Here is a 12745-nt window from a genome sequence, read left to right on the forward strand (position 1 = left end):
TCCAATGACACAAACTCTCTTTCATTTTCCCACTTTTATATAGAGTACTAACAGTAATAACCTAATAGTATAACTAATAGTATAACCACAATGCCAAAAAAGAAAAAAAAAGTATGAGTGATTTCTAATCTAATACTGCCAGCATTTTAAAAATCAGCATGTTTTTTTTTTAAGACAATGTCTGGCTCTATTGCCCAGGCTGGAGTGCAGTGGCACCATCTCAGGTCTGCAACCTCTGCCTCCCAGGCTCAAGCTGTCCTCCCACCTCGGCCTCCTGAGTAGCTGGGACAACAGGCCCACACCACCATACTGGACTAATTTTAAAAAGCAGCTATTTTAAAATTTCTGTTATTGAGCCAGAATCCAGGATGCAGTGAGAGTGAATCATTGACTGAAAGACACTTAGAAGGTTTTATTGGTCTGTGGTATTCATCACACCACAAAGGCCAGGCCCTGAAAAGGAAAACTGTGTAAAGAATGTATAAGCCTCAACACCACAGTGTTGTCCAAGTCTATTCCTAATTCATCCTGCTTTGTTGCTCTGACACCTGTACCACAAAAGAAAATTTCTGAGATTATCTTACCTAGGAACCTTGTCTTAAACTATATTCCAGCATGTACAAACACTAAGTTGAGCAAAGTAGGACACATGTCGTCAGGACCTCCTGAGGCTGTGTCATGGAAAAAAATTTTTTTTTAAAGAAAAGCAAAGTTGAGCAAAGCGTTCCCAAGTTACCTAAATTTTGCATATGATGGTATTCCTTCGGAATGCTTTGGGAAGTTCAGCAGGATTCTGAAACAACTAAATGTGACAACACAAAGAACAAAAATAGACAAAGGAAAAAATTTCAAAGATAGTGTGTCCTGTGAAAACAGTCAGATATCCTTTCTTTCCACACTGGCTATATGGGAGAGTCTTTTAAAATAAGTTGTAATGATGAAAGTGGGGTTGAATTTTTTAAAAGCAAATTTTGAAAATTACTTAGCTAATAGAAAAGGTAGAAGACTGTGAACTATAAATTTTGCTAAGTGAATTGAACGGAGAGGTTTTAAAAATGACTATTATTTTCATGAATTATAAAAAAAATTCAAACAACACAAAATATTACAAAGAAGAAGAAACAACCTTATGTCCCGTCACCTAAAAATAATATTATCATCATAAATATTAGGGGAATATCATTCTGGATGTGGAAATGAGAGATAACTTAGAATTTTAAAAACAACTTACTCTTAGGCAACTAAGCCTGATCGTATTGTTGATGGCCTAATTGTGAGAGACTCTAAAACTGACTTTTTTATATGTCTGTTTTATTTGAAAAGTTATGAGAGGAGGGGAACTAATTAGAATTCTCAGTCCATAACCAATGATAAGAACGTGAGTTCAGGCTGGGCAGGGAGGTTCACCCCTGTAATCCCAGCACTTTGAGAGGCTGAGGCAGGAGAATCCCTTGAGTCCAGGATTTGCCCAAGGAAACATATCTTATGTTTTAGATATAGCTGAATTGAGGGTTAAAGCATGGACATATAAAATAAAATAAAGATGTTTGCTAATTTCTATTGAACTCACATTAAAAAAAAAAAAAAGATAGAGACAGGGTCTTAATATGTTGCCCAGACTGGAGTACAGTAGTGCAATCATTAGCTCACTGTAACCTCGAAATCCTGGGCTCAAGCAATCCTGCTTCCGAAGTAGCTGAGACTACTGGTGCATGCCAATACAGATGATTTTTAAATATTTTAAATATTTTGTAGAGATAGGTTCTCATTATGTTGCCTGGGCTGATCTCAAACTCTTGGCCTCTTCAACCCAAACTCTTTATTTCAATACTCACTGAAGAATATTATTCTTGCTTAGCCATACCCACTTCCCTTGGAGAAGAAAGGGCATATATTTTCATTATAGGTGAAGGTGGATGCTACTGAGAAGGCCTTTATATATCACATCAAGGCCCATTTTTACTAGTTATACCTCTTTTTCTGAGCACGTGAAATATTTTCCTGAGTCTTTTAATTTTTTAAAAAATTGAGACGGAGTCTCACTCTATCACCCAGGCTGGAGTACAGTGGTGTGATCTCGACTCACTGCAACATCTGCTGCCAGGGTTCAAGTGATTCTCGTGTCTCAGCCTCCCAAGTAGCTGGGACTACAGGTGCGTGCCACCATGCCCAGCTAATTTTTTAAATATTTTTTAGAGGAGACGGGGCTTTGCTGTGTTGGCCAGGCTGGTATGGAACTCCTGACCTCAAGTGATCGGCCCACCTCAGCCTCCCAAAGTGCTGGAATTATAGGTGTGAGCCACTGCACCCAGCCTTGTAATTTTTTAAATGTGTTGCTTTTTTTTGAGATGAGGTCTTGCTCTGCTGCCCAGGCTGGAGTGCAGTAGCACCATCTCAGCTCTGCAACCTCTGCCTCCTGGGCTCAAGCCATCCTCCTGCCTCAGTCTCCTGAGTAGCTGGGACTACAGGGCGTGCCACTGCACCTGACCTAATGTGTTACTTTTAACCCCAGTTATTTGTTAAGAAACTCCCACCCTGAGATTCCTTCTCTTACTGAGGTGAAGTCATTTTTATTTATTTAATTATTTCTTTATGAAAAGGAAAGAGTAAAATTCCCCTTCCTCACTCCTAAACAAACTTCATTAAACTCATATTTGGGCAAAAAGTTTAAGTAGAAATTTTCAAACTCAAAGAAAACTTTGGTCCTTTATGTTGCAAAAATCAAGAACATTACCTGTGTTAAATTCAACAGACATTGATACTGATTATGCAAATGGCAGATTATTCATTCTTTTTAAAATGTGTATGGTAGCTCCCCCTTACTTGCATTTGACTAATGCTAATACAAAATTAGATGCCATTTCCTGACTTAGTCACCAATTTACATTGAGAAAATATGGGTCAAATAGGTGGAAGAAGAAAGCCAATATTTCCTTGGTAACCATTATATCAAAATTGAAGATAATTACTTAATCAAAAGTACAGATTTTCCATGCAATGGCTCTGTTTATCTCAAAGTATTAGCACATTGGACTACCTGACCATTTTTCCTGAAAAACTAAAGTGCAAATAATTTTAGTAAATTAAATCATATTTTTCCACTGACGTGTTCTAATTTAAAGATAGAATTTTACTTTTAATTGATCCTTAACTAAGAGTGGCACTTAACTATTCTCTTACTATTGATGCTTATGTGTATCAAGCAATAGATTAAAGCCAGTGCCACTGCTACTTTGTTTTACTGTTATTGTATTTAACGAGAAGCCACGTTGTATGTAAAGGAGTTAAAGCCCTACTTCCAAAACACTACTTCCTCCTTCCCTAAATTCATGAGGTGGCCACCTCTTTTTTTTGGAGACAGAGTCTTGCTCTGTTGCCCAGGCTGATGTACAGCGGTGCCATCTCAGCTCACTGCAACCTTCGCCTCCTGAATTCAAGCTATTCTCATGCCTCAGCCTCCTGAGCAGCTGGGATTACAGGCACCCACCACCACACCTGGCTAACTTTTGTATTTTTAGTAGAAACAGGGTTTCACCATGTTGTCCAGGCTGGTCTCAAATTCCTGACCTCAGGTAATCCACCTGCCTCGGCCTCCCAAAGTGCTGGGATTATAGGCGTGAGCCACCATGCCCGGCCCCACTTCAATTTTTTAATGTTTGAAACTTCACACTTCGTTAGCATTCACTAAGGCATACTGAGGAAGCACCAACTTGAATTAGTGAAAATTTTGAATGCTATAATATAAAACTACATGATCATATCTCTTCATGGTACAATATGCAATTCTTAGCAGTCTATAGTGAAGAATTTCCAAGAAGAAGGCTACTACTTCTAGGCACCTTGGTAAACTCATAAAATGAATAAGGTTACTGGGTAATTCATCTAACACATTTTTACAATTAGAATCATCATCCGTCTTGTATACTGTATCTACTTTGGTGCCAAATGCCTGCATTTGTTTAGGGCTTTACTACGTATAAAGCAAATTTCACATAATGCTATTTGATTCAGACACAACACTAATCATTTTGGCTACCACTGTTTGTATGACTACTAGGAGTGCCTTAATGATATGACTCTTCTTTTAGCTTCTGACAAATGAGTGTTGCTAAGTTATCTGAATATGTTCAGTTCCTGTTCACTGAGCAGTTACTATATGCTTGGCATCAAGCTAGAAAATTTTTGTCCTTTTGGGTTAACAATTCACTCTAAATTATCATTCATTTTGCCTGGTGACACTTTATCTTATGCTTTATTCAGCACCTGTCTAAATGTACTTATGTATTCAAAAGATACTTAACACTTGTAATAGGTTACAGGCACAAATTTAAAATGACTAGGGTCTGCGGGTGAAAGTCATTTGCCATGTGGAACAACACTAGTCAAGAAATTAGTTAATCAATCAGTGTTTTGCTCTAACTAATATATCTTTTTCGGGGTTTCTCCACTTTGGCACTATTGACTTTTTTTTTTTTTTTTTTTTTTTTTTTTTTTTGAGATGTTGTCTTGCTCTGTCACCAGGCTGGAGAGCAGTGATGTGATCTCAGCTCACTGCAACCTCTGCCTCCCGAGTTCAAGCGATTCACCATGCCCGGCTAATTTTTTGTATTTTAGTAGAGACAGGGGTTTCACCATGTTGGCCAGGATGGTCTTGATCTCCTGACCTTCTGATCTGCCAGCCTCGGCCTCTCAATATGCTGGGATTACAGGCTTGAGCCACCATGCCCTGCCAAATTTTTTAATTGTTGTTGTTGTTGTTATATAGATTAGAGGTTTCTATGTTGCCCAGGCTGGCCTCGAATGCATAGCCTCACCTCCTTATGCGCCAGGACAACAGGCCTGAGCCACCGCGGCTCCCTGGCACTGACATTTTAGACCAGATCATTCTTTGTTCTGGGGGACTGTCCTGGGCATTATAGGATGTTCAACAGCAGCACTTGCCTCTTTCCATTAGATGCCAGTAGTACCTCCACTTCCAGTTTTGATCATCACAAACGTCTCCAGACATTGTCAAATGTCCCCATGGTGGAGTGGAGGGGAGAGAGTGTCCCTGGTTAAAATCACTGGGCTAGTGTGGAGATCATGATTTCTTTACTAGATTTTAAAGATCTTGAAGGCAGAGACCCAGTCTGATTCATTGCTCTACCACCTCTTCCCCACCAACTAAATTTAGTTTCTGGCGCAGAAATGTTTCTTGATGAATGTTCTGAAAAGAATAAAGTATCTCCTGGAGTCCTCCACTGTCGTCAGCCCTGTACAAGGCACCTTGGTAAACCCACAGGATGAACAAGGTAACTGGGGTAATTCATCTAACAAATTTGAATACAAATTTACGATTTGAATAATCATCTATGTCGTATACTGTGCCCACGTTGGTGCAAAATGCTTACATTTGTAGAGGGCTTTACCATGTATGAAGCACATTTCACATAATGTTATTTGATTCAGATATCTAATCACTTTGGCTACCACTGTTTATAATTTAAACTCCCAAGTCCGAGCACTGTATTTTTAGGCAGGAGTGGGAGGTATTTTGATTTCAGTGGCATTGCCTTCATTTATTAAAAGGAACTCTTGGGATTGGTTTAATAATAATTGAATTTAAATTTCAGATTCTTTTTTGTCATGTTAGAAGTAGAACATCTAAAAGGCCCTTCATGATCTAAGTAATTCTGGTTTACTTAGATTCCTGGAAATTGCCAGAGGATTTTAAGGGAGGAGGAAAAAAAGAGTGAGGAAATTTTCCCTGTGGGCAATTGGGGAAAACAAAAATATTTTTGTGCTGCGGTGACTTCTCAGGAAAGGAGGGTTGGCCAGCAGCGGCTGCATCTGCACAAGGGGAATTTCCACATTTGGGAAAACATGGTCATAATTAATGACTTAGGAAAGCCAAGAAAACGGACCATGTTGGAAAAATATGATCTTCAGTGGCCAAGTCATTGTCAACTGATTGGGCCAGAAAATTGGATTATTTTAGAAAGAGATATTTATTTGTGAATATTTGTCTGTAGGTCCTTCCTTCTGTGAATCTAATAAGTGCCCTGCTCCTGCCTGGAGAGTCGGCTTCTCATAGCCTTTCCCACTCTCTCTGTCTCTCCCTGTCCTAAGGGAAGACTTGCTTTAGACTTCTAGCCTGAACACTGGCCTGCAGTCTTTTGCTTTGAACATGATGCTTGGGTCTAGCCACCAGAGATTGCTGGATCCTAACATAGCCCTCATTTATTGATGACTCCATGTCCTGGGCCCTGGGCGAAGAACACTGAAAAACTATCTTGATTTAGACATGAGAAAACTGAGTCTTGGGGAATTTAAGTCACTTACCTAGGACCAATACAGCTTTAACTACCAAGCTATACTTCTTGCATCTCCTCATCCTGTATATAAAGTCTACTTCCTAAATTGGAATGTTCTCACTCTGTATACAATCTCTTCCCCAGACCGCCTTGTTTAAACTAGATCTGGCCTGGGTTGATGTTCATCCAAGTACTTCCTGGTTACCTGTTCTCAGGAGGATAAGTCTGGGTTAGCAGGCTCAGCACCATCGAATCTTGGTCTACTTGGGGAATGAATATGTAGTCAGAACATTCTTGCCCAGCTTTGGGGTTTTCTTTTATTTTAGTGATCAATTTTATTAAAATAGGTATGATCATCTTTTGCTTCTTCTTTTCATAATTTTCTCAAGATCAGGGATCAGGAATAGCTTGCCAAATTTCAACAGGTATTCCCAAGTTGAAGGTCAATTTTTTTTAGAAAGGGAAATATCTCTAAGAAAAAAAATCCTTATATTTGACATGTAGATGTAGTATCCAATAGAACATCAACAAAATGCAGTACTTTGTTTTGTGAATTGAAAAAGCTGCAAGTTAGGCCGGGTGCGGTGGCTCACGCCTGTAATCCCAGCACATTGGGAGGCTGAGGCGGGCAGATCACGAGGTCAGGAGTTCAAGACCAGCCTGGCCAACATGGTGGAACCCCGTCTCTATTAAAAATACAAACATTAGGCCGGGCGCGGTGGCTCATGCCTGTAATCCCAGCACTTTGGGAGGCCAAGGCAGGCCGATCACAAGGTCAGGAGATCGAGACCATCCTGGCTACAAAAAATTAGCCAGGCGTGGTGGCAGGTGCCTGTAGTCCCAGCTACTCAGGAGGCTGAGGCAGGAGAATGGCGTGAACTCAGGAGGCGGAGCTGGCAGTGAGCCGAGATCACGCCACTGCACTCTAGCCTAGGCGACAGAGCAAGACTCCGTATCAAAAAAAAAAAAAAATTAGCTGGGTGTGGTGGTGGGCACCTGTAACCCTAGCTACTTGGGAGGCTGAGGCAGGAGAATTGCTTGAACCCAGGAGGCAAAGGTTGCAGTGAGCCAAGATTGTGCCACTGCACTCCAGCCTGGGCAACAGAACAAGACTCCGTCTCAAAAAAAAAAAAGAAAAAGAAAAAGCTGCAAGTTAAATCATGTCCCTCTGCAGCAACAATTCCATGCTCTAGACCTTTATGATGAGGCTTCTAAAGTTAGCCCTGCCCTGTGACTGCAATGAATCGGAGAAAACAAACCTAACTAGGATTTAACAGTCTAATTGCCCTGGATTGAACCTCAATGGTATTATAATTAATTTAAAAATCACAACATTGGGAAATAATGTAATACATTTCTTTTCTGTTGAAATTAAAACATATTAATTAAATCTTATTAATATTTGTTTTCCGATCGCTTCTTGGGCATAGTCAGACATTATTACCTTTATTTGGTGATATGAAAACTGAAGGGGTGTATTAGTTTTCTACTGTTGAGTAACAAATTATCACACATTCAGGGAGGTGGAACAACATTTCACTTATTCCATAGGTTTTGCAGTTCTATAGGTCAGAAGTCCTGGTGGGCTTGGCTGGTTTCTCTGCTTAGGGTCCCAATGAGTCAGAAATCAAGGTATTCATCAGGCTAGACTCTTACGTGGGGGCTCGGGGGAAGACTCTGCTTCCAAGCCCCTTCAGATCGCTGGAGGAACTGAGTTCCTTGTGGCTGTAACACCGAGGCCTTTTTATCTTTCCTGCTGTCAACCAGGAGCCACTGGCTGCTCCTAGAGGCCTTGCATGTTTTCCTTCTCATGCACTTTCCCCCATCTTCACCTTCAAAGCCAGCAATCACCCTTAAATCTTTCTCACCTCTGGAATCTCTGTGACTTTCCTCTTCTGCTTCCAGCTGAGAAAAACTTTTTTTTTTTTTTTTTCTGAAACAGAGTCTTGCTCTGTCACCCAGGCTGGAGCGCAAAGGCATGATCTCTGCTCACTGCAACCTCTGCCTCCTGGGTTCAAGCGATTCTCCTGTCTCAGCCTCCTGAGTAGCTGGGACTACAGGTGGGTGCCACCATGCCCAGCTAATTTTTGTATTTTTAGTAGAGACGGGGTTTCGCCATGTTGACCAGGCTGGTCTCGAACTCCTGACCTCAGGTGATCCACCGCCTCAGCCTCCCAAAGTGCTGGGATTACAGGCCTGAGCCACCACTCAAAAAACTATTTTTTTAAAGGACTCACTGGTTTGGGCCAAGCCCTCTGGGATAATCCCCATATTTTAAAGTAAACTAATTTGGAACTTAAATTACATCTGCAAAATCCTATTGCAGCTGTACCTAGATTATTGTTTCACAAAATAACCAGGGGATGGGAATCTTGGGCAGCAATCTTAAGGACTCTGCTTACCATAAGGAAATAGTTACTCAGTTAACCTGAGATACAATCTAGAAACAGATGAGCAGCAGTATTAAACCAAAGAATTTAATTTTGTATTTCCTTCCCTTTTTTGTGTTTTTTAAACATATATGTTTATTTGTTAATATACCTGTATGTATGTGTATAATTATTATTATTATTATTGTTATTATTATTATTATTTTAGAGATAGGCTCTCACTCTGTTGCCCGGCCTGGAGTGCAGTGTCAAAATCATAGCTCACTGCAACCTCAAACTCCTGGGTTCAAGCAATCTTCTTGCTTCAGCCTCCAGGGTAGTTAGGACTACAGGCGTGCGCCACCGTGGCCGGCTAATTTTGTTTATTTTTTTAGAGATGGGGTCTTGCTATGTTTTCCCGGCTGGTCTCAAACTCCTGGCCTCAAGCAATCTTCCCACCTTGGCCTCCCAAAGTGCTGGGATTATGGGCATGAGCCCCCATGCCCTTCCTTACTATAGTATATTTTGGGAGGCACTCACCCCCATATTTTATTTTTATTAATGCATGATTTAAAATGTTGCCAAGGCTGATTTGGGACATGTGTTTTTAAGGGTCTATGGACGTCTGAGTGGTACTGTCGAGGCTTGGAGCTAGGTGTGGGTGTGTATGGTAGAGGAGATGGTGATGGCAGGTGAAGAAGGGACAGAGGCTAAGGTTTTGGTGAATACAGAAGAGGCATTTACTCCCATTTTTAATGTATTCACTGAAGATATTTGAAGATGGGAATCCTTTTGTTTTCTATAGGCAAGTCTAGAAGGTCAAAACCCAAGGGATTCTATGTGTGTTATTTATTTTTATTTATTTATTTATTTTTGAGACAGAGTCTCACTCACTCTGTCACCCGGGCTGGAGTGCAGTGGTGTGATTTGCAGCCTCCACCTCCCCGGTTGAAGTGATTCTTGTGCCTCAGCCTTCCAAGTAGCTGGGATTACAGGTGTGCATCACCAGGCCCTGCTAATTTTTGTGTTTTTAGTAGAGACAGGGTTTCGTCATGTTGGCCAGGCTGGTCTGGAACTCCTGGCCTCAAGTGATCCGCCCACCTCGGCCTCCCAAAGTGTTGGGATTACAGGCATGAGCCACCGCGCTGGACTATGTGTGTTATTTATGGGCAGTATTTGAGGATGTTGCCAAACAGGCATTTTGGAGCATGTGGATCAGCATCACTAGCATGCCATGCCTTTACTACAGATTCAAACTTCCCAAGTTTTTGCTGCACGGTTTCAATGTACCATGGCCTACCAGATGTACTAAAGGCTAGAACACAGGCTGAGTCCATGGGCCCAGCTAACCACTGATCCAGAAGCCTGGGCCCACAGAGGGTCACCTTGGGATTGCAAAGGTCTGGAAAAGGCTGAGAGGATCATAGAAAGGAAGAGGATCTATTAATTTTTCTGATCTTGTAATTTTACCTGGAGAACAGCCTGATGAAAAATCTAAAATTCTGGTCAAGGGAGTAGAGATGGTTTTAGCCTTTGGAAAGAACATATATAGAAATATGAAAAACCTAAGAAAAAGGCAAAATGTTTCAGAGGCTAAATATTTCTCACTTCTTCCCAGAATATTTAGGTTTCCCCCTTCTTAAAGTCCTGGCCAAAAATGGAGGGAGGGGGGAGATTTCCCAGATGTTTCTTTTCAATTGTCCCAGACCTTCGGAAAAGAGTGAGAAAATGCTACCATATTATTGGGCAAAGAGAAGTAAGTCAGTGGAGAGGGCATTTGATAACTGCACTGAAAGAGTGATACAATTAGGGTATAAGTGGCATGTTTACCTTTGGAAAGGAGGACACAGGAGGAAAGAGGTAGGGTGGAAGATGTTAATGTTGCTTATTCATTGTGATGTCTTAAAGCACAACACATTGTATGTTCTTTCACTGGCAAAGAATTTTGCTCTATAAAGAATAACTCTGCTAGGCATGGTGGCTCACACCTGTAATCCCAATATTTTGGGAGGCTGAGGCTAGCAGATCGTTTGAGCCCAGGAGTTTGAGAGCAGCCTGGGCAACACAGGAAAACCCTGTCTCAACAAAAAAATATAAACAATAGCTGGGTGTGGTGGTGCGTGCCTGTGGTCACAGCTACTTGGGAGGCCGAGGCAGGAGGATTGCCTGAGCCTGGGAGGTTGGTCGAGGCTGCAGTGAGCTGAGATGGCACCACTGCACTCCAGCCTAGGTGACAGAGTGAGACCCTGTCTTGAAAAATAATAATAACTAAAGGATACTGGTAATATGTTACAGATATTACTTTTATTCTTAATACTTCTACTTAAAAATCTTTCCCTTCATTTATTCAATCATTCAGAAATCTTTGAGGAGAACCTGCCATGTGCCTTCATCTGGGTGCTAGGAATACGACAGCAAACACAACAGATGAGGTCCCAGCTCTCATGGAGCTTATATTCTAGTGTAGGGGAGTTGGAAAATGAGGAAACACTTACTTTTCATTACGTGATACATAAAGAGGTAAATATGATGTGTTAGACTGTGAAAGGTTAGACAGTGATAGCAATGCAGAGCAATATAATAGAGTGAAGTGATAGATGACAAGCTGGCTATTTTAGACTGGGTGGCTGTGGAAGACCTGTCTGAAGTGATGACATTTGAACAGTGATCTCAATGACAGGGAGGAGCTGGTCATGAAAAGATCAGAATGAAGAGCACTCTACGTGGAGAGAACAGAAGGTTCCGACATCCTCAAGATGGCAAGAAATTTGAGTTTGAGAAAGAGAGAGAGGGCCTAGGTGGCTGGAACTCAGTGGCAAATGCAAAAGTGGTACAAGATGAAGTTGGACAAGTGGACAGGACCTAGATCATTTAAGCATGGCTGGCCATGGTAAGGAATTTGGATTTTTAAGTGAGATGGGAAGCTCTCAGAAAGTTTTAAGCAAGGAAGTAATTTTCTGTTTGGGCAATGAATTGCAGAGAGCAAGGGTGGAAGTCCAGAGATGTTTAGGAAGCAATTACAGGAATTCAGGCCAACAATGGCGGCTTGGTCTAGGATACTAGCAGTGAAGATGAGGAGCGCTGGGTGTATGGGGTGTATGTGGAAGGCAGAGTCAATGGGACTTTCCGATGGCTTGTATGTAAGATATAAGAAAAAGGAACCAAAGATATGTCCTCTGTTATCAGCTCGGGCACTGGGTGGATGGTGATGCCATTTAGTGAGACAGGTTGGCTGGGAACAAGAAGTGTAGAAGACTCTGATAAATCCCTCCCAAATAGCTGTTCCTTTCTTCCTCCTTGCTAACACAGCCCTGACTTTGTTTAGGATGACAGTTTGTCCAGCTTCAAGTGATGAATTATGATTGCTGTCATTCAGTCATAATAATCCCATTCCCTTTTGCTAGATACTCAATCCCCTCATCTCCTTTGCAGCTAGGGGTGACTCATTTCTGGCTAGTAAGCCCTAAGTGAAAGCCTCTGGGGATAGATGTGGCTGTCCGGAATACCATCGCAATAGTTGGACCTATGGCAGCCATCTTCTGACTGTAAGACAAAAGACATGAGGATTAAAGACCAATACATGAGGTACGATAAAGTAGAAAAAAAAATTTACCTGATTCCTGGGTAGTATAGATGAGCAGCTGGGTCAACACCGGAAATCATCTATTGCCAAACATCTTGTTTATGAAAAAAGTAAAACTATTTGTTTAAATCTTGTTGTTTGATATAAGAAGGTTAAGGGAAAGAATCAGGAGTACTCTTCTAACCATGTTGGTTTGAGATGCCTATTAGATATTCATGTGAAAGTGACTGCCTAATTTCTTCCTTTCTCCAATGGAATAAAATTTTCTAGACCTTTTAAATCTTAGCATAGGATTATAGCACTAGAAAACATGAAGCATTGGCTGGGCATGGTGGCTCATGCCTATAATCCCAGCACTTTGGGAGGCCGAGGAGGGTGGATTGCCTGAGCTCAGGAGTTTGAGAACAGCCTGGGCAACACGGAGAAACCCTGTCTCTACTAAAAAATACAAAAAATTAGCAGGCGTGGCAGCGTGCACCTGTAGTCCCAGCTACTTGGGA

General features: G+C 41.4%; 1 protein-coding gene across 2 annotated transcripts in view, besides 2 other annotated features; it reads left to right on the top strand.

The window, feature by feature from the left end:
• The window catches only part of MKLN1 (muskelin 1), a 386539-nt gene that overhangs the window by 87590 nt on the left and 286204 nt on the right, over positions 1-12745 (top strand). The window lies entirely within an intron of this gene.
• Positions 5874-6018: an enhancer, noted in NCBI's record as "145 bp 7:130888388 sequence used in MPRA reporter constructs". NCBI's record gives its function as "activates a minimal TATA-containing promoter with rs17165483 allelic activity by MPRAs in C283T melanocytes and UACC903 melanoma cells {active_cell/tissue: C283T | UACC903}" and the evidence as "EXISTENCE:reporter gene assay evidence [ECO:0000049][PMID:36423637]".
• Position 5946: a transcriptional cis regulatory region, noted in NCBI's record as "rs17165483 or 7:130888388 MPRA-significant variant associated with a GWAS melanoma risk locus at 7q32.3". NCBI's record gives its function as "allelic transcriptional activity by MPRAs in C283T melanocytes and UACC903 melanoma cells {active_cell/tissue: C283T | UACC903}" and the evidence as "EXISTENCE:reporter gene assay evidence [ECO:0000049][PMID:36423637]".

This window comes from Homo sapiens, chromosome 7, assembly GCF_000001405.40.
Source record: "Homo sapiens chromosome 7, GRCh38.p14 Primary Assembly".
Taxonomy (NCBI): domain Eukaryota; kingdom Metazoa; phylum Chordata; class Mammalia; order Primates; family Hominidae; genus Homo; species Homo sapiens.